The 18,165-nt window shown below is 46.9% G+C and overlaps 1 protein-coding gene across 4 annotated transcripts in view, besides 6 other annotated features; it reads right to left on the reverse strand.

The window, feature by feature from the left end:
* The window catches only part of INSR (insulin receptor), a 182,150-nt gene that overhangs the window by 68,875 nt on the left and 95,110 nt on the right, over nt 1-18,165 (reverse strand). For all 4 annotated transcript variants that reach the window (XM_011527989.4, NM_001079817.3, XM_011527988.3 and 1 more), the window contains exon 3: nt 3,177-3,498. In XM_011527989.4, the coding sequence (XP_011526291.2) occupies nt 3,177-3,498 (322 nt within the window). The remainder of the gene's footprint in view (nt 1-3,176; nt 3,499-18,165) is intronic.
* Nucleotides 11,244-11,333: an enhancer, noted in NCBI's record as "active region_13871". NCBI's record gives its function as "activates an Ori minimal core promoter by ATAC-STARR-seq in GM12878 lymphoblastoid cells {active_cell/tissue: GM12878}" and the evidence as "EXISTENCE:reporter gene assay evidence [ECO:0000049][PMID:35858748]".
* Nucleotides 11,384-11,473: an enhancer, noted in NCBI's record as "active region_13872". NCBI's record gives its function as "activates an Ori minimal core promoter by ATAC-STARR-seq in GM12878 lymphoblastoid cells {active_cell/tissue: GM12878}" and the evidence as "EXISTENCE:reporter gene assay evidence [ECO:0000049][PMID:35858748]".
* Nucleotides 16,197-16,396: an enhancer, noted in NCBI's record as "active region_13873". NCBI's record gives its function as "activates an Ori minimal core promoter by ATAC-STARR-seq in GM12878 lymphoblastoid cells {active_cell/tissue: GM12878}" and the evidence as "EXISTENCE:reporter gene assay evidence [ECO:0000049][PMID:35858748]".
* Nucleotides 16,197-17,506: a biological region, named in NCBI's record as "H3K27ac hESC enhancer GRCh37_chr19:7197359-7198195".
* Nucleotides 16,209-17,045: an enhancer, noted in NCBI's record as "H3K27ac hESC enhancer chr19:7197359-7198195 (GRCh37/hg19 assembly coordinates)". NCBI's record gives its function as "activates a minimal SCP1, AML or CMV promoter by ChIP-STARR-seq in naive H9 embryonic stem cells {active_cell/tissue: H9 hESC(naive)}" and the evidence as "EXISTENCE:reporter gene assay evidence [ECO:0000049][PMID:30033119]".
* Nucleotides 16,877-17,506: a silencer, noted in NCBI's record as "silent region_9972". NCBI's record gives its function as "represses an Ori minimal core promoter by ATAC-STARR-seq in GM12878 lymphoblastoid cells {active_cell/tissue: GM12878}" and the evidence as "EXISTENCE:reporter gene assay evidence [ECO:0000049][PMID:35858748]".

Raw genomic sequence — 18,165 nt, forward strand, 5'->3', positions numbered from 1 at the left:
TTCACCATGTTGGTCAGGCTGGTCTCGAACTCCTGACCTCAGGTGATCCACCCACCTCGGCCTCCCAAAGTGCTGGGGTTATAGGCGTGAGCCACCGCGCCTGGCCCAGGTGGCCACTTTTTACCAGTGTCACTAGAATGGAAGCAGGAGCAAAGAGATTGTTCAAGGGGACTGGGTCAGACCAGACATGATGGTGAAATAGATGGAGGTGTAGACAAATTTGAGACCTCAGCTTAATAGGAAGAAGTGAGAGAGGCCAAGAAGAATCAAGGATTTTAGGTAATTCTCCCCTTCCCAGTGGATACCCCATACGCATTGAAAATTTATTCATCACAAATATCTGGTCCTTCTCATCTCAGGAAGCAGCACTGTGCTATTACATCCCAGCAGGTACTTTGGAACGACAGTAGATGGTGAGACCTTTTTTTTTTTTTTTTTGGAGATGCAGTTTCACTCTTGTCACACTTGCCTGGGGGCTAACGTGCAATGGCGTGATCTCAGCTCACTGCAACCTCTGCCTCCTGGGTTCAAGCAATTCTCATGCCTCAGCCTCCCGAGTAGCTGGGATAACAGGTATGCATCACCATGCCCAGCTAATTTTTTTTTTGTTTTTGTATTTTTAGTAAAGACGGGGTTTCACCGTGGTGGCCAGGCTGACCTTGAACTCCTGCCCTCAGATGATCCGTCCACTTCGGCCTCCCAAAGTGCTGGGATTACAGGCATAAGCCACTGTGCCTGGCCAAGGCCTTTTAACATGGGTTCCCAGAACTCTGCTCTGAAAACATCAAGAACTCCTTCCCAGATAAGCCACCAGAATGGAAGAAAACATCTGGCCCTATTTGATATCAAACCACATTAGAAAATGCCACAGTACGATTAAGTCTTTCATAAGATAAAAAGAAAAGCTTCAGGCCAGGTGCGGTGGCTCATGCCTGTAATCCCAGCACTTTGGGAGGCCGAGGTGGGTGGATCACTTGAGGTCAGGAGTTCAAGACCAGCCTGGCCAACATGATGAAACCCGGTCTCTACTAAAAATACAAGAAAAATTTAGCTGGGTATGGTGACAGATGTCTGTAATCCCAGCTACTTAGAGGCTAAGGCAGGAGAATCACTTGAACCCGGGAGGCTGAGTTGCAGTGAGCCAAGATCGCACCATTGCACTTCAGTCTGGGCAACAAGAATGAAACTCCATCTCAAAAAAACAAAAGCACAAACAAAAAAAAATTGGCCAGGCTTGCTGCCTCACACCTGTAATCCCAGCTACTTGGGAGGCTGAGGCAGGAGAATGGCTTGAACCTGGAAGGCAGAGGTTGCAGTGAGCTGAGATCATGCCACTGCACTCCAGCCTGGGTGACAGAGTGAGGCTCTGTCTCAAAATAAATAAATTAATTAATTAAAAGCTTCAGAAATAAAAATATTAATTTTTTTAAACCTACGCAATAAAATACGGTGACAATGCACCCCCCTCTCCTTTGTTTTCTTCCGTTCAGGAAAGGTCCCAGATACCAAGGATGTGCGGTCAATTTCTCAGGGTTTCTGTTTTAGCATCTCCCGCATCATCAGTGAGAAAATCAAAGGAGGTTGCTATATTTCTCAGGCCATTGTTAAGGTGAGGGAAAAATGCCTTTTATTTAAGGCCAATGTCTTTTAAACAAACATCTTGCCAGAAGATATTAACCCATTTTTTTTATTTCAATTGTGATTTTAAAAAGAAAGAAATGAATCAAAAGGAATATGGTCATTTCCTCAATCTTGGGAATACACTGGCCAAAAAAAAAAAAAAAAACCTAAAACAAAAGTCTGTCTGGTATGAAAAGGTGATTTATAGACCCTTTTGGTCAATAAAGCCAAAAGGTTTTTTTGGTAGGTTTTTATCAACAACGAGCAAAACAAAACATATTGTACTTGCAGGTTTCACAAACACTCAAAGAAAGAGTCATAAGAACTGAAATTACAGCTTGTTTTCCTTCCCGCCCTCTCCACCCAGGGAAATACAATTTCCCACCCCAACACTCTCGCTTGGCTAATTCTCAAGTCTGAAGAGGAAGATACTTTACGTAAGCAGGTCAGCTCAAGGCCTCTTGATGTGTGTCTGTTTCTGATTTGTTTTTGTGTTGTTTTGTGGTGTGTGTGTGTGTGTGTGTGTGTGTGTGTGTGTGTTTTAAAACAAAACATAAAACCTCAATACAAAAACCAGGAAACAGATTTTTGCAACTCAGTTACGGCCCCAAAATAGCTCATGGAAGAAGCTCACAGTACGAACAGAAAGTCTGCGATGTGCGTAGGAAATCTGACTCTGTCGAAGAGAGAAAACCCTGCTATTTCTCACCCAAACGGCAGGAAATGGTTTGATTATACTGTCCTTCAGAGAACAGCAAAGCCCTGAGAATAATGCAGAAGCGAGTCTCTTCCTCCTGGAGACAGTATGTTCTGGGCTAATCTTGGCACACCACCAGGCTACAGGTCAGGGAAGACACGAAAGACCTTGGTATATCCTTTATGTGACAATGATGAAGCTACATCAGTGAGGACAGGCCACGTGGAGGATTTTAGGGAAAACCAAGGACTCTGTCCTTATTATATTTTCTTGTTCTGAAGCCAACCACAGAAAGCTTAGAACTGAGGTCCACAATGCCAGACTGGGTGCGGTGGCTCACACCTGCAATCACAGCACTTTGAGAGGCCAAGGCAGGTGGACCACCTGAGGTTGGGAGTTCGAGACCAGCCTGACCAACATGGCGAAACCCTGTCTCTATTAAAAATACAAAAATTAGCCGGGCATGGTGGCAGGCACCTGCAGTCCCAGCTGCTTGGGAGGCTGAGGCAGGAAAATCGCTTGAACCCAGGAGGCAGAGGTTGCAGTGAGCCAGGTTCGTGCCACTGCACTCCAGCTTGGGAGTCTTGCGGCAAGACTCCATCTCAAAAAAAAAAAAAAAGAATGGTGGGCACAATGCCAGAAGTATATACTATCTGGTCCTTTAGAGAAAAAGGTAGTCAACTCCCACTCCCAAGCCCAGGACCAAAACAGGGTGCAAAAGTAGCATCTGAGAGCAGAGACCTCACTCATAGCCAATTAACCCTGGGTTTGCACACAGTTTTAACAAGCGGCATCGTCACAACCAACCCCACGTTCCTTCTCCTCTCGGCTGCCCCCCAGACCCACATCCAGAACTCACTTGCTGGAATTCATCGTGTACCCGGAGGGACACTCAGGGATGCACTTGTTGTTGTGAATGACGTACTGGTGGCAGCCCTGCCTCCGCGAGTTCTTGCATTTGTGGTGCAGGTCCTGGCAGAAGCTGAAGTTCACACAGCGCCAGTCCTGGAAGTGGTAGTACGGGGGCGGGCAGGTCTCCACACACCTGCCGTCCAGGTAGAAGTTGCGGCAGGCCACGCACTTGGTGGGGTCGTCGGGCTGAGAACAGTTGCCCAGGCACTCGCTGTGGCAACAGAGGCCTTCGGCGGTGCAGCCGTGTGACTTACAGATGGTCGGGCAAACTGGAGAGAGAGAGAGAGAGAGAGGGAAATAAATAAATAAATAAATAAATAAATAAATAAATAAATAAATGGCTTTGTCCAATTCCTGTCTGCATATGCAGCAATTCTGGATCAGACAGTGAAAGCCAACCAAACACTAACAGTAAAAGCGGCACGTCTACATCATTACCCACATGTCAGACACATCTATTAACTGGTTTAAGCCTCCAAACCATTGGTGAGCTTGTAAATGTTTAACAGCTGCCTGAGGGAGGGGCCCAGGGAGGCCCAGATTTATATAGCATTTGCCGATTTCCATGGTGTAAATATTCCTACCAGTGGTGGATTTCAGGCCACCAACATGAAGTTACTAAACATAAGCTGACAAAAGATACACAGTAGCATTCCTCTAAGTAGTATTTATAAGTATACACAAAATGTATCTACTATTGACACAAAAGTAGTAAATAACCTCAACAGCACAAATAATAGGAAAACATCGTATGATATTAGGAGGTGGTGAGTTTTGAGTATTTGTTACTTTTAAAAAGCTTTGTTAATTTAAAAACTTTTGTTTTTAATGTAATTTGTTTAACTGTAGGTTTATGTAATTTTTATGAATATCTATGTTTAACAAATGGCTCACAAATTGCCTGAAAATTTCACCACTGGCTCCAGCAAGCCAACTCCAGCATGCTGCTGCACCCCACATGTGAAGTAGATACACTGTTAGCTCCTTTATTTTTTTGTTTTACAAATGGGGAAACTGAGGTACAGGGAGGTTAAGTAACTTGCCCCCAAACCACTGATTGCTTCAACAGACATTTGCTTGCACTAATCTAGATACTGTGGCCACTGTGGGGAAAAAAGTGGCTGCAGATCCTGCCTTTGGGAGCACAAGGTCTAATGGAGGAGACATGTTAGTTACTTAAACATGCAAATGTGGCTCGGTGTGGTGGCTCACGCCTGTAATCCTAGCAATTTGGGAGGTCGAGGCGGGTGGATCACCTGAGGTCAGGAGTTTGAGACCAGCCTGGTCAACATGGTGAAACCCTGTCTCTACTAAAAATACAAAAATTAGCTAGGTGTGCTGGTGCATGCCTGTAATCCCAGCTGCTCAGGAGGCTGAGGCACGAGAATCACTTGAATCTGGGAGGTGGAGGCTGCAGTGAGCCATGATCGTGCCACTATACTCCAGCCTGGGCAACAAGTGCAAAATTCTGTCAAAAAAAAAAAAAAAAAAGAGAGAGAGAGACAAAGAGAGAGAGAAAAGGAAGGAAGGAAGGAAAAAAAAAAGGCTGGTTGTGGTGGCTCATGCCTGTAATCCTAGCACTTTGGGAGGCCAAGGTGGGCGGATCACCTGAGGTCAGGAGTTTCAGACCAGCCTGGCCAACATGGTGAAACCCCATCTCTACTGATGATACAAACAATTAGCCGGGTGTGGTGGTGGGCGTCTGTAATCCCAGCTACTCAGGAGGCTGAGGCAGGAGAATCGCTTGAACCTGGGAGGGGAGGTTGCAGGGAGCCGAGATCATGCCACTGCACTCCAGCCTTGGTGACAGAGGGAGACTCTGTCTCAAAACAAAAAATGAAACAAAACAAAAAATAAGAAAGAAAGTTGGGGAGTGTTCTTCACCCCAAATCCCCAGACTGTGATTCTCAGCACAGTGGATCCCACCGGCCAAACTCAGGGAACAGAAGTGGCCCCAGAAGCTACATCCATATATGAACAGCACCATCTGGTCGAAATTTCTGCGATGACGGAAATGTTCTCTATCTGGGCCATCCAACATAGTAGCCACTTCTCCCCTGTGGCTTCTGAATGTGCTTAGTGCAACTAGGAAATCCAATTTTTTTTTTAATTGTGGTAAAATACACATAGCATAAAATTCACCATTGTAATCATGTTTAAATGTATAGTTCAGTGGTATTAAATACTTTTATGTGGCTATGCAACCATCACCACCACCCATCTCCAGAACTTTCTCACCTTAACCAAACTGAAACTCTGCCCCCATGAAACAGTCACACTCATCCTCCTCCCCAACTCCTGGCACCTGCCATTTTACTTTCTTTTTCTTTTCTTTTTTTTTATTTTTATTTTTTGAGATGGAGTCTTGCTTTGTTGCCCAGGCTGGGGTGCAGTGGCGCGATCTCAGCTCACTGTAACCTCTGCCTCCCGGGTTCAAGTGATTCTCCTGCCTCAGCCTCCAGAGTAGCTGGGATTACAGACGCCCACCACCACACCCAGCTAATTTTTGTATTTTTAGTAGAGATGGGGTTTCACCATGTTGGCCGGGCTGGTCTTGAACTCCTAACCTCGTGATCCTCCTGCCTCAGCCTCCCAAAGTGCAGGGATTACAGGTGTGAGCCACTGCGCCCGACATCCCATTTTACTTTCTGTCTCTGTGACTCTGATGACTCTAGGAACCTCATATAAGTGGAATAATATAGGATTTATTCTTTTTTAAAAAATTTATTTTGAGATGGAGTCTCACTCTGTCACTCAGGCTGGAGTGCAGTGACTCGATCTCGGCTCACTGCAACCTCCACCTCCTGGGTTCAAGGAATTCTCCTGCCTCAGCCTCGAGTAGCTGGGATTACAGGTGCCCACCACCACACCCCGCTAATTTTTTTGTATTTTTAGTAGAGACGGGGTTTCACCGTGTTGGCCAGGCTGGTCTCGAACTCCTGACCTCAAGTGATCCACTCACCCTGGCCCCCCAAAGTACTGGAATTACAGGTGTGAGCCACTGTGCCCAGCCTAGCTGCAGTATTTTACATTCCCACCAACAGTGTACCAGGGCTCCAATTTTTACCAAGGAACAAAACTTTTAACTGCATTTCATTTTAATTTCAGTTTAAAATTTTTAAAAAGTTTTACATTGATACAGAATATTTTACACATTTATGGGGTACTTGTGATATTTTGTCATATGGATAAAATGTGTAACGATTTCTTTTTTGGGTGTGTGATGGGGTCTGGCTCTGTCACTTAGGTTCTGGGGTACAGTGACACAGTGACAGTTCACTGCAGCCTCAATCTCCTGGGCTCAGGTGATCCTCCCACCTCGGCCTCTTGGGTAGCTGGAATAATGGACATGCGCCACCACGCCCAGCTAAGTGTTTAATTTTTTGTAGAAATGGGGTCTCACTATGTTGCCCAGGCTGGTCTCGAACTCCTGGCTCAAGCGATCCTCCCACCTCAGCCTCCCAAAGTGCTGAGATTACAAGTATGAGCCACTGTGCCTGACACAATTCCAATGTTTACTAGCCACAGATGACTACCGTCTCCCAGACGAGACAGTTCAGGCATACAGAATAAAAGCCAACTCCCTACAGGCCTTGGGGGGTCTAATCCCTGCCAGTCTTGCTAAATTCTTCTCCCAGGCTGGCCTCCTTTCTGCACCTCCCACCCACACACACCCAGGCTCAGCCCTACCTTAGGACCTTGCACAAGCTGTTCTGGGTGGAGCACCCTGGTCCCTTGTCCCCTTGTGACTTGCTCCTTTGCATCCTTCAGGTCCTTACACAGATCTTCCCTGACTTCCCCAGCAGAAGTCGCCCTTCCTGCTCCATTCATAAGCTAACACATTATCTCATTACATTTTCCTTATGGCATGGATCACTCTTGAAAATTATCTTGGGGCTGGGCGCGGGGGCTCACACCTATAATCCCAGCACTTTGGGAGGCTGAGGTGGGTGGATTATTTGAGGTCAGGAGTTCAAGACCAGCCTGGCCAACATGGTAAAACCCCGACTCTACTAAAAATACAGAAATTAGCTGGGCGTGGTGGTGGGCGCCTGTAATCCCAGCTACTCAGCTACTCAGAAGGCTGAGGCACAAGAATCACTTGAACCTGGGAGGTGGAGGTTGCAGTGAGCTGAGATCCACTGCACTCCAGGCTGGCTGACAGAGTGAGACTCCGTCCAAAAAAAAAAAAAAAACAAGAATATTAGGAAGTTCTAATAGGGCTAAGCACAGTGGCTGATGCTTGTAATCCCAGCACTTTGAGAGGCTGAGGTGGGTGGACCACTTGAGGTCAGGAGTTCAAGACGACCAGCCTGACCAACATGGTGAAACCCGTCTCTACTAAAAATACAAAAATTAGTCGGGTGTGGTGGTGCTTGCCTATAATCCCAGCTACTCGGGAGGCTGAGGCAGTAGAATCGCTTGAACGCAAGAGGAGTTTGCAGTGAGTCAAGATTGTGCCACTGAACTCCAGCCTAGGTGACAGAGCGAGACTCTATCTCAAAAAAAAAAAAAAAAAAAAAAAGGGAGGGGGGATTGTTAATAAGAGTCCCTTCCTTCCTTCTTAAGGCTGTTGCAAGAAATAAACAGGATGACGTCAGTAACACATCAGATTCTTTGATAGAGACATTTTTAGGCTTGATAGAAATTAACTACAGAGGGTATCTATAATTATCATAATTATCAACATCATTAACACTGATCTGTCTGTGGGAACCTGAGGGCTGAAATTCAATTGAAGGAAGCAATATACAAGGCAGACAACAATGATCCAGGACCCACGGAGTTCCAGCACTCTGGCAAGGAAACACACACACAAGAGGAAGGGGCTTGTTTCCTGGGCTGGAGCCACTTCAGAGGGTCAGCCCTTTCATTCAAAAGAGGCGTCATCAATGGCCTAACACAAACCTCTCAAACACATAAGTCCTTCCGGCCTAGACAATGGGAAGAAAAATTATCCAACCATTGCAAACAAGGCCAGAGGCTGCGAGACTTTGCAATCCTGTGTTGGAGCCCTAGCTGACAGGCCTATCTGAGCTATTTCATTTGTCAGCACAGGAGTTGGTCAACTTTTTCTGTAAAGGGCCACAAGCAAATACTTGAGGCTTTGCAGGACATATGGTGTTGGTTGAAACTACTCAACTCTGCCACGATGGCATGATAGCAGCCACAGACATATGTACATGAAGAGGCATGGCTAGGTCCAATAAAACTTTATTTATAAAAGCAAGTGATGGGCCAGATAGTTTATCAACCTGCACTAGTTAAATGTACCTGTAATTGATTTTACTATTACTTTTTTTTTTTTTTTTTGAAACCGAGTCTTGCTCTGTTGTCCAGGCTGAAGTACAGCGGTGCCATCTCCGCTCACTGTAAACTCTGTGTCCCAGGTTCAAGCAATTCTCCTGCCTCAGCCTCCTGAGTAGCTGGGATTACAGGCACCCACAACCATGCCTGGATAATTTTTGTATTTTTAGTAGAGACTGGGTTTCAGCATGTTGGCCAGTCTGGTCTTGAACTCCTGACCTCAAGTGATCTGCCCACCTTGGCCTCCCAAAGTGCTGGGATTATAGGCATGACCCACTACGCCTGGCCGATTTTACTATTTCTATTAGGAACTAGACTCAAGGAAATTAGAGTTAACTTACAGACAGATATGCTACAAATTATTTTCATCTCAGAGAAAAGATACTCTCAGCTGGGCATGGAGGCTCATGCCTGTAATCCCAGCACTTTGGGAGGCTGAGGCGGGAGGATTGCTTGAGCCCAGGCATTCGAGACCAGCCTGGGTAACAGAGTGAGATCCTATCTCTCCTTGCCGAAAAAAAAAAGAAAAAAATCATCCCCAAAGATTACAGTTTTATTGTCCTATGGGACATTAAGCAGCCTCACAGCTAACACTGCCTTCTTATTTCAGTGACTATACATGTTTTGGCTTTATAATCCTGCTGTTCCCTCACTAATGGGTTAAATAAACATGCTGACCTGTGTTCTTTGGTGGTTTTTTTTTTTTTTTTTTTTTGAGACAGAGTCTCACTCTGTTGTCCAGGCTGAAGTGCAATGGTGAGAACTCAGCTCACTGCAACCTCCGCCTCCCGGGTTCAAGCAATTCTCTGCCTCAGCCTCCTGAGTAGCTGGGATTACAGGCGCCCGTCATCACGCCCAGCTAATTTTTGTATTTTTAGTAGAGATGGGGTTTCACCACGTTGGCCAGGCTGGTCTTGAACTCCTGACCTCGGGATCCACCCATCTTGGCCTCCCAAAGTGCTGGGATTACAGGCGTGAGCCACCGCGCCCAACCAATTCTTTGAAGACTATCCTTCGAACACTATAAGCTCATTCCAGGTGTTTCCAACTCTGTAGGGAGATGTTGATCAAACTACAAAATTTCACTTAGGAGAAATAAGCTTTAGTTATGTATTGGACACAATGGTTGCTATAATAAGTAATAGTGCACTGGACATTTCAAAATTGCCAAAAATGTAGATATTTTTAACCATAAAACAATGATAAGTATGTGAGGTGATAGCTTTTAAATTGGCATGACTTAGTAATTCTACAATGTAAACAGATATCAAAACATCACATGGTACCCCATAAATATGTAACATATACAATTATTATTTGTCAATTTTAAAAAAATAGAGGCTGGGAACGGTGGCTCACGCCTGTAATCCCAGCACTTTGGGAGGCCGTGGCAGGTGGATCACCTGAGGTCAGGAGTTCGAGACCAGCCTGGCCGACATGGTGAAACCCCATCTCTACTAAAAATACAAAAATTATACAGGCGTGGTGGCAGGTGCCTGTAATCCCAGCTACTTGGGAGGCTGAGACAGCAGAATTGCTTGAACCCGGGAGGCGGGGGTTGCAGTGAGCCGAGATTGTGCCACTGCTGGAAGAGAGAGTGAGACTCTGTCTCAAAAAGAAAGAAAAGAAAAGAGAAAGAAAGAAAGAAAAAGAAAGAAAGAAAGAAAGAAAGGAGGGAGGGAGGGAGGGAAGGAGGGAAAGAAAAGAAAGAAAAGCCACTCGGGGTGGCCACTGCACCCCCTAGCTGAGTGGGAGTCCTCTAAACTGGTGCTGGACGTTTCCACATACTCTTGCTCCCCATACTGGTTCCTCTGAACTCGGATTGTTAGACAGAATGTGAAAAGCTCCACATGAAAATCACAAGCCTGCCAGGCGCAGTGGCTTGTGCATGTAATGGCACTTTGGGAGGCTAACACGGGAGGATCTCTTGAGTCCAGTAGTTCAAGACTAGCCTGGGCAAAATAGCCAGACCCCTGTCTCTACAAAAATAAAAAAATTAGCCAGGTGTGATGGTGCACACCCGTAAACCAATAGTCCCAGCTACTCGGGAGACTGAGGTGGGAGGATTGCTACAGCCCAGGGGTTTGAGGCTGCAGTGAGCTGTGACTGCACCACTGCACTCCAGCCTGGGCAATAAAGCAAGACCCTATCTTTAAAAAGAAGAGAGAGAGAAAAGAAAGAGAGAGTGAAAGAAGGAGGGAAGGAAGGAGGAAGGGAGAGAGAGAAAAGAAAGAGAAAGACAGAAAGAAGGAGGGAAGGAAGGAAGGAAGGAGAGAGATAAAAAGAAAGAAGGAGGGAAGGAAGGAGGGAGGGAGGGGAGAGAGAGAGAAAGAAAGAAGAGGGAGAAAGAAAGAGAAAGAAAGAGGCAGGAAGGGAGGGAGAAAGAAAGAAGGAAAGAAAGAGAGAAAGAAGAAAGAATACAGAAAGAGAAAAAAGAAAAGAAAGAGGGAGAAAGAAGAAAGATAAGAGAGAGAGAAAGAGAAAGAAAAAGAAAGACAGAGAAAGAAAAGAAAAAAGAAAGAAAAAGAAAGAAAGGAGAAAGAAAAGAAAGAGAAAGAAGGAAGGGAGGGAGGGAAGAAAAGAAAAGAAAAGAAAAGAAAAGAAAAGAAAAGAAAAGAAAAGAAAAGAAAAGAAAAAAATCACAGGCAGCCCAGGCTGGGGAAAGGGCATGACACAGATGAACTAGCCACAAAACAGCAGCTTCTTCTGGTGAGAGAGACCGCAAAGTGAAGACATTATGAAAGCCACGTGTCATGCAAGATGAGAAACAGCCCCAGTGGAGGACGGGGTTGACTTTCCTCTCCCTGTGCCCCTGACCTGATCCCCCTCATTGACACGTAATGAGCCCAAGTGTCCGTTCCTGCCCAAATTCTGGTTTGGGGTAGGGACAGTCAGCAGCCCAGGCTATGTCTGCCAGACAAGATGGCAGACTTGCAGGAAAATGCCAAACCGTCCGGGGGCTGTCACTCCCTCACACCTGCACACAAGTGCTGCTGTGTATGTAGGGAACATCTACCCAGACCTCCCCTCTCCAAAAATGCAAGTTCTGTGTCCATCCGCTGTCTCCCCTTCAAAGCCACATTGAGCTGCTGGTCCCAATTTTCCCCCAGTTCTCCCTAAACCTCCCAAAAGCTCCTGGGTGAGCACACAGAAGCAACTATCATCTTCCTGAAACTTTCAGCTGCGGTGGCTTTTTCACTATACACTGCTGAGAAGATCAGGGACTAAAATCTAACTAAGTTGACGGAGGAGAAAGGAGACCGCTGTGTCAGAGTCCTCTGGTGGACCCTCCCCAAGAAAGACAATGTCCCCACTAAAGGACCCCTTCCCTAGACAGAGGGAGTCACAGAAACACCAATTTGCTTCAGGGAGGCAGTTCAAAGCAAAGGAACGAATCTTGCACCAAGAGGCAAGTGCAATTTGATGCAGTATTTCTTTTTTTTCTTTTTTTTTTTTTCCCCAGATGGAGTCTCACTCTTGTCCCTCAGGCTGGAGTGCAGTGGCACGATCTCAGCTCACTGCAACCTCCGCCTCCCGGGTTCAAGAGATTCTTCTGCTCATGCCTGTAATCCCAGCAGGCTAAGGAGGCTAAGCCTGGGAGGCTAAGGTGAGCGGATCACGAGGTCAGGAGAGCCAAACCATCCTGACCAACATGGTGAGACTCCGTCTCCACGAAAAATATAAAAATTAGCTGAGCATGGTGTCGCGCACCTGTAGTCTCAGCTACATGGGAGGCTGAGGCAGGAAAATCACCTGAACCTGGGGAGCGGAAGTTGCAGTGAGCTGAGATCACGCTACTGCACTCCAGCCTGGCGACAGAGTGAGACTCCATCTCATAAAAAAACAAACAAAAAAATTAGGGGCAGGAGGGGGGAGGACACATGGGACATATGTCCCTCTGAAAGGGACACAAAAAAGTGCCCTATTTTATTTTTATTTTTTACTATGTATGTGTACTATCCTGTCAAAACTGACATATATTTGGAAATACATATTTTTTTCAAGTAGCTTCTTCTTTCATTTATTTATTTAGAGACAGTGTCTCACTCTGTCGCCCAGGCTGGAGTGCAGTGGCATGATCTTGGTTCACCGTAACCTCCGCCTCCCAGGTTCAAGTGCTCCTCCTACCTCAGCCTCCTGAGTAGCTGGGACTACAGGCGTACACCACCATGCTTGGCTAATTTTTGTATATGTATATATACATTTGGTAGAGATGAGGTCTCACAATATTGCCCAGGCTGGTCTTGAACTCCTAGGCTCAAGAGATCCGCTCTCCCCGAGCTCCCAAACTGGGCATAGGCGTAAGCCACAATGCCCAGCCAGGAAATACATTTTTCAAAAGCCTCTGCTAGACAGTAAACAATGTTATTGATCAGTTACATGATTCTACTCCCAAATATTCTAATAATGACAGGCATCGGTGAGAGCTTTTACAAAGGTTCTCTTAAAATCATCTTTGTTGGCTGGGCATGGTGGCTCACGCCTGTAATCCCAGCACTTTGGGAGGCTGATGCAGGAAGATCACTTGAGGTCAGGAGTTCGAGACCAGCCTGGCCAACATGGTGAAACACTCTCTATTCAAAATACAAAAATTAGCTGGGCGTGGTGGTAGGCACCTATAATCCCAGCTACTTGGGAGGCTGAGGCAGGAGAATTGCTTGAACCCAGGAGGCAGTCGTTGCAGTCAGCCAAGATCGTGCCACTGCACTCCAGCCTGGACGACAGAATGAGACTTCATCTCAAAAAAAGAAAAAAAAATTATCTTTGCCTTATTACAAAATCAATATGGGGCTCAGGGGTGAAGTGTGGAGTGTGTTTTAATAATAGCTTTGCTTTTTTTTTTTTTTTTTTTTTTGAGACAAAATCTCTTTCTGTCACCCAGGCTGGAGTGCAGTGGTGCAATCTTGGCTCACTGTAACCCCCATGTCCTGGGTTCAAGCGATTCTCCTGCCTCAGCCTCCTGAGTAGCTGGGATTACAGGCACACGCCACCACACCAACTGATTTTTTTTTTTTTTTTTTTTTTAGTGGAGAAGCGGTTTCACCATGTTGGCCAGGCTGGTCTCAAACACGTGACCTCCGTCTGCCTTGGCCTCTTAAAGTGCTGGTACAGGTGTGAGCCACCGCGCCAGGCCAGCTTTGCTCTTTTATGGACTATTCAACAAATTGTTAGCATTTCTCTTTTTTCTTTTTTTCATTCAACAAACACATGTCGAATGTCCCAGTGTGCCAAATCATAGGAAACCTGTTCTCGTATTAAATGAAAAAGCATCAGAACATAGATGACACAAAAACCCCATCCCCTGTCCTCGAGACATCCAGGTTTAGCATTGTCCTCAGCCCCCAGCAGCATCCCCTCCTGCAGGGGGAAAAGAAAAGGAAAAAATCCCACAGTACTAGAAAATGGCAAGAGTAAATCTTGTTGTGGGAAACTTTTCATTCAGGTATATGCATGTCTTGGGTACTGAGCCTTACGGGAAATGTATTTCTTCTTAAAAATTCTAGTTAAAAATACTTCAAGTAACATTGCCCACAATAGTGGGACAAGGCAACAACACGTACTTCCCATTATGAGGCAATGAAAAAGACAAAATATTTGTGTAGCTTTCTTTCCATATATTACTAACCCTAGCTTGAGGTCATTCGATAAAATAACTGGCCTGTGCTCTTCAAAACTGCCAATGTTGGCCAGGTGTGGTGGCTAACACGTGTAATCCCAGCACTTTGGGAGGCTGAGGCAGGAAGATCACTGGAGATCAGGAGTTCGAGACCAGCCTGGCCAACATGGTGAAACCCTTTCTCTACTAAAAACACAAAAATTAGCTGGGTGTGGTGGCGCATGCCTGTAATCCCGGCTACTTGGGGGCTGAGGCAGGAGAATCACTTGAACCCAGGAGACAGAGGTTGCAGTCAGCCAAGATCTCACCACTGCACTCTAGCCTGGGTGACAGAGTAAGACTCCGCCTCAAAAAAAAATAAAAATAAATAAATAAATAAATAAATAAAAGCCAATGTTGGGAAAGACACAGAAAACTGAGGAATTGTGCGGACTTAAGAGACAGCAGCATTCAAATGCAAAGTGTGATCCTAGATTGGAACCTTCGCCTAGGAAAAAAAATCTATATAGGGCAATATTGAGACAACAGATAAGATTATAGAAGACATTGGATTAAAATACTGTATCAATGTTAATTTCCTGATTTTGACAACGGCACCAGTACCATCATTATGTAAGAGAACTTTCTTTCTTTTCTTTCTTTTTTTTTTTTTTTTTGTTTGAGACGGAGTTTCGCTCTTGTTGCCCAGGCTGGAGTGCAATGGCACCATCTCGGCTCACTGCAACCTCTGCCTCCCAGGTTCAAGCGAACCTCCTGCCTCAGCCTCCCGAGTAGCTGGGATTACAGGCATGTGCCACCACGCCTGGCTAATTTTGTATTTTTAGTAGAGACGGGGCTTCTCCAAGTTGGTCAGGCTGGTCTCGAACTCCTGACCTCAGGTGATCCGCCCGCCTCAGCTTCCCAAAGTGCTGGGATTACAGGCATGAGCCACCACGCCTGGCCTCAGAACTTTCTTGTTCTTAGGAAATATCCACTGAAGAATTAAGGAGTATGTATCATGCCTGCAACTAACTCTCAAATAGTTCAGGGGAAAAAAATGTATATAATGTGTGTGCATAAATATATTAGAAAGGTAATAAAACAAGTAGAATAAAACGTAAACAATTGATTGATCTAGATATAATCTTGCAATTTTTCCGTAAGCTTGAAACGACATCAAAACAAAAAGCGACCAATTTGTCCAAAGCAAGGTTAAAAGCCAGAGAAATAGGAGACGCAGCGCTGCATTGTTAAATGACTTGCGCACAAAAATCCAGTCACTCTGACACTTTTTTGTTTGCCTCCCTTTTAAAGTTCAAATTAGTTTGGGTTTTTCTTAATTAAGAAGGTATGTGATAAAAAACAAAACAGAAAATACAGAAACCACCATTAAATGATTCGATAGCTCCACATATGTTAATAACATTTTGTTACATTCTTTCCAAAGCTTAAAACTTTCCGAAGTTTAAAAAAAACTTAAAAAAAAAAAGTTTAAAAACCTTTCCAAAGTTTAAAAAAAAAATACTCAAGATTTATGATTCCAAAAATTACTGCTTTCCAGAAATTTCCAAACGGAACAGTTGCGTCATGGGCCTGCTGGTACATTGACCACAGGGCCCCGCGGCTCTCCCTATAAGTGTGAGTTTTATAAACTCCTTAAAGTAATTTATTTTGTTTCCATTCAAGGCCTTTCTCTCCCACACTGGCCCCAGACCCTGACCTCAGAGGTTCGAGTCCCCGGAGCCAAATTCCTCTAGTTGGAATCTAGTAAATGATTTAATGGCAAAGGGGCAGGGGTTGGGGGCAGCCAAGGAGGTGAACTTTTGACAGCTTCGTGGTCAGCAGCGACGACCGCAGGAGCGCGTGTCCTTGAAGCGGGGAAGCGCCCCTTTTCCTTGCCTGACAATACCGCCCCACACGCGATGACGCCTTTGGAATAGAACTGCGCAGCTCTTTGGAGACATACGGCGCATATAGAGGCTAGAAAGGGAACAGAGTACCAGAGGGCCTTCCCGCTTCGGGAGCCGCAGGCTTCTTCTCTTCGGAGAGAGAGTGAGTGAGTGAGTAAGCGAGTGAGTGAGTGAGTGGGGAGGGAGTGAGTCCGTCCACGGGGGCGGGCCCTCTCCATGCTGCGGATCTCTTAGGAGATATACTGCGCACGCAGAGGCCCGGAAGGAGGCGGGGTCCCAGGGGTCTCCTCGCTAGAGCAGCCCCAGGATTGGCAGGTTCCAGAGTGGGAGTGGGGGTGTGTGTGTGTGTGTGTGTGTGTGTGTGTCAGGTTCCAGAGTGGGAGTGTGTGTGTTTGGGTGTGTGTGTGTGTGTGTGTGTCAGATTCCAGAGTGGGAGTGTGTGTGTGTTTGGCAGGTTCCAGAGTGGGAGTGTGTGTGTGTGTTTGGCAGGTTCCAGAGTGGGAGTGTGTGTGTGTGTTTGGCAGGTTCCAGAGTGGGAGTGTGTGTGTGTGTGTGATTGGCAGGTTCCAGAGTGGGAGTGTGTGTGTGTGTGTGTGTGTGTCCCCAGGATTGGTCGGTTCCAGAGTGGGAGAGAGAGCGAGAGAGAGAGAGAACGAGAGAGAGAGAGAGAGAACGAGAGAGAGTGTGTGCGCGTGTGTGTCTGTGCAGCCCCAGGATTGGTCGGTTCCAGAGTGAGAGTGTGTGTGTGTGTGTGTGTGTGTGTGTGTCCCCATGGTGGGAGTGTGTGTGTGTCCCCATGGTGGGAGTGTGTGTGTGTCCATGGTGGGCGAGCGTGTGTGTGTGTCCATGATGGGCGTGTGTGTGTGTCTGCGTGTGTGCCCGTGTCTGCGTGTGTGCCCATGGGGGCGAGGGAGGGAGCCCTAGGCGCTCAAGGCTCCGCCCCCTCGAGCCGGAGGCCTCAGCGCAGCACAAAGCCCGGGGCGCACTCCGCTCCGGGGAATCCGGCCCCGGCGGTTGCGGCGGCCGCAGCGCCGCCCTCGCGCTCAGCCAATGGGCGGGCGTGCTGCAGGGGCGCTGGCCCCGCCCCCCGGGTGCGCCGGGCTCCGCTCCCCAGACTGGCGCTCGGGCAGTGGCCGCCGCCGGGCGGTCCCGGCCAGAGGAAAGGGCGCCCTGGGAGGGCCCCTCGTGGCTGCAGACCCCGCAGGTCGAGTCTGCCACGGATGGAACTTTGGAAAAAGCTAGGGAAAAGGAGAAACCGAGCTTGCAAGGGCTCATCAAGCATCCACCGGGGTGGCTTAGGCTGCGCGCGGCGCTGGGCGTGTGCCCGGGAGGAGATCGGGTCACCGCGTGGCAGCTCCCGGGACTGCCGAGGGGCCCCCTGACCCCAGGCCTCCCTCGGGAGGGGTCCAGAAAGGTGCAGCGGCTCACTAGGGTCACACAGCAAAATTCCTCACATTGCAGGGGGGGAGGGTCCGCATCTCCGAACTCGCCGGGCCAGTGCACCCTCTATTCTCACCCACCACTCACCCAGAAAACGAGAACCATACTCATAAATACATTCTTAAAATCCACAGGCTACGTTTTTGGGGTAACCTCCAGCCAGTATTCCGCATGCATTTGAAAACTTGTGTGTCCCCATTGAATTTGCAGTTCCAGTAAACCAAGGCAGCGAGTGGACATTCTCATTTAACATTCACCCCCATAAATACACTTTTTTTGGGGGGGGGGTCTCACTCTGTCGCCTCAGGCTGGAGTGCAGTGGTGTGATCATCGCCCACTGCAGCCTCAAACTCCTGGGCTCAAGCCATCCTCCCACCTCAGCCTCCCGAGTAGCTGGGACTACAGGCGTGCATCACTATGCCTGGCTAATTTTTTCTATTTTTTTGTAGACATGGGGACTCGTTGCCCAGGCTGGTTTAGAACTCCTGGCCTCAAGTGATCCTCTTGCCTCAGTCTACCAAAGTGTTGGGATTACAGGCATGAATACACTTTAAAGTGTGTAATCTGTTTGCAGCACACACGGTCCAATCCATCAATGAGGTCATATTAACTCAATTATTCAAGCAATCATCACCATTAGAATTGGAGAAACCGAGGCATAGAGGGGCTACTTTGCCAATAAC

Source organism: Homo sapiens, chromosome 19 (assembly GCF_000001405.40).
Source record: "Homo sapiens chromosome 19, GRCh38.p14 Primary Assembly".
Taxonomy (NCBI): Eukaryota; Metazoa; Chordata; class Mammalia; order Primates; family Hominidae; genus Homo; species Homo sapiens.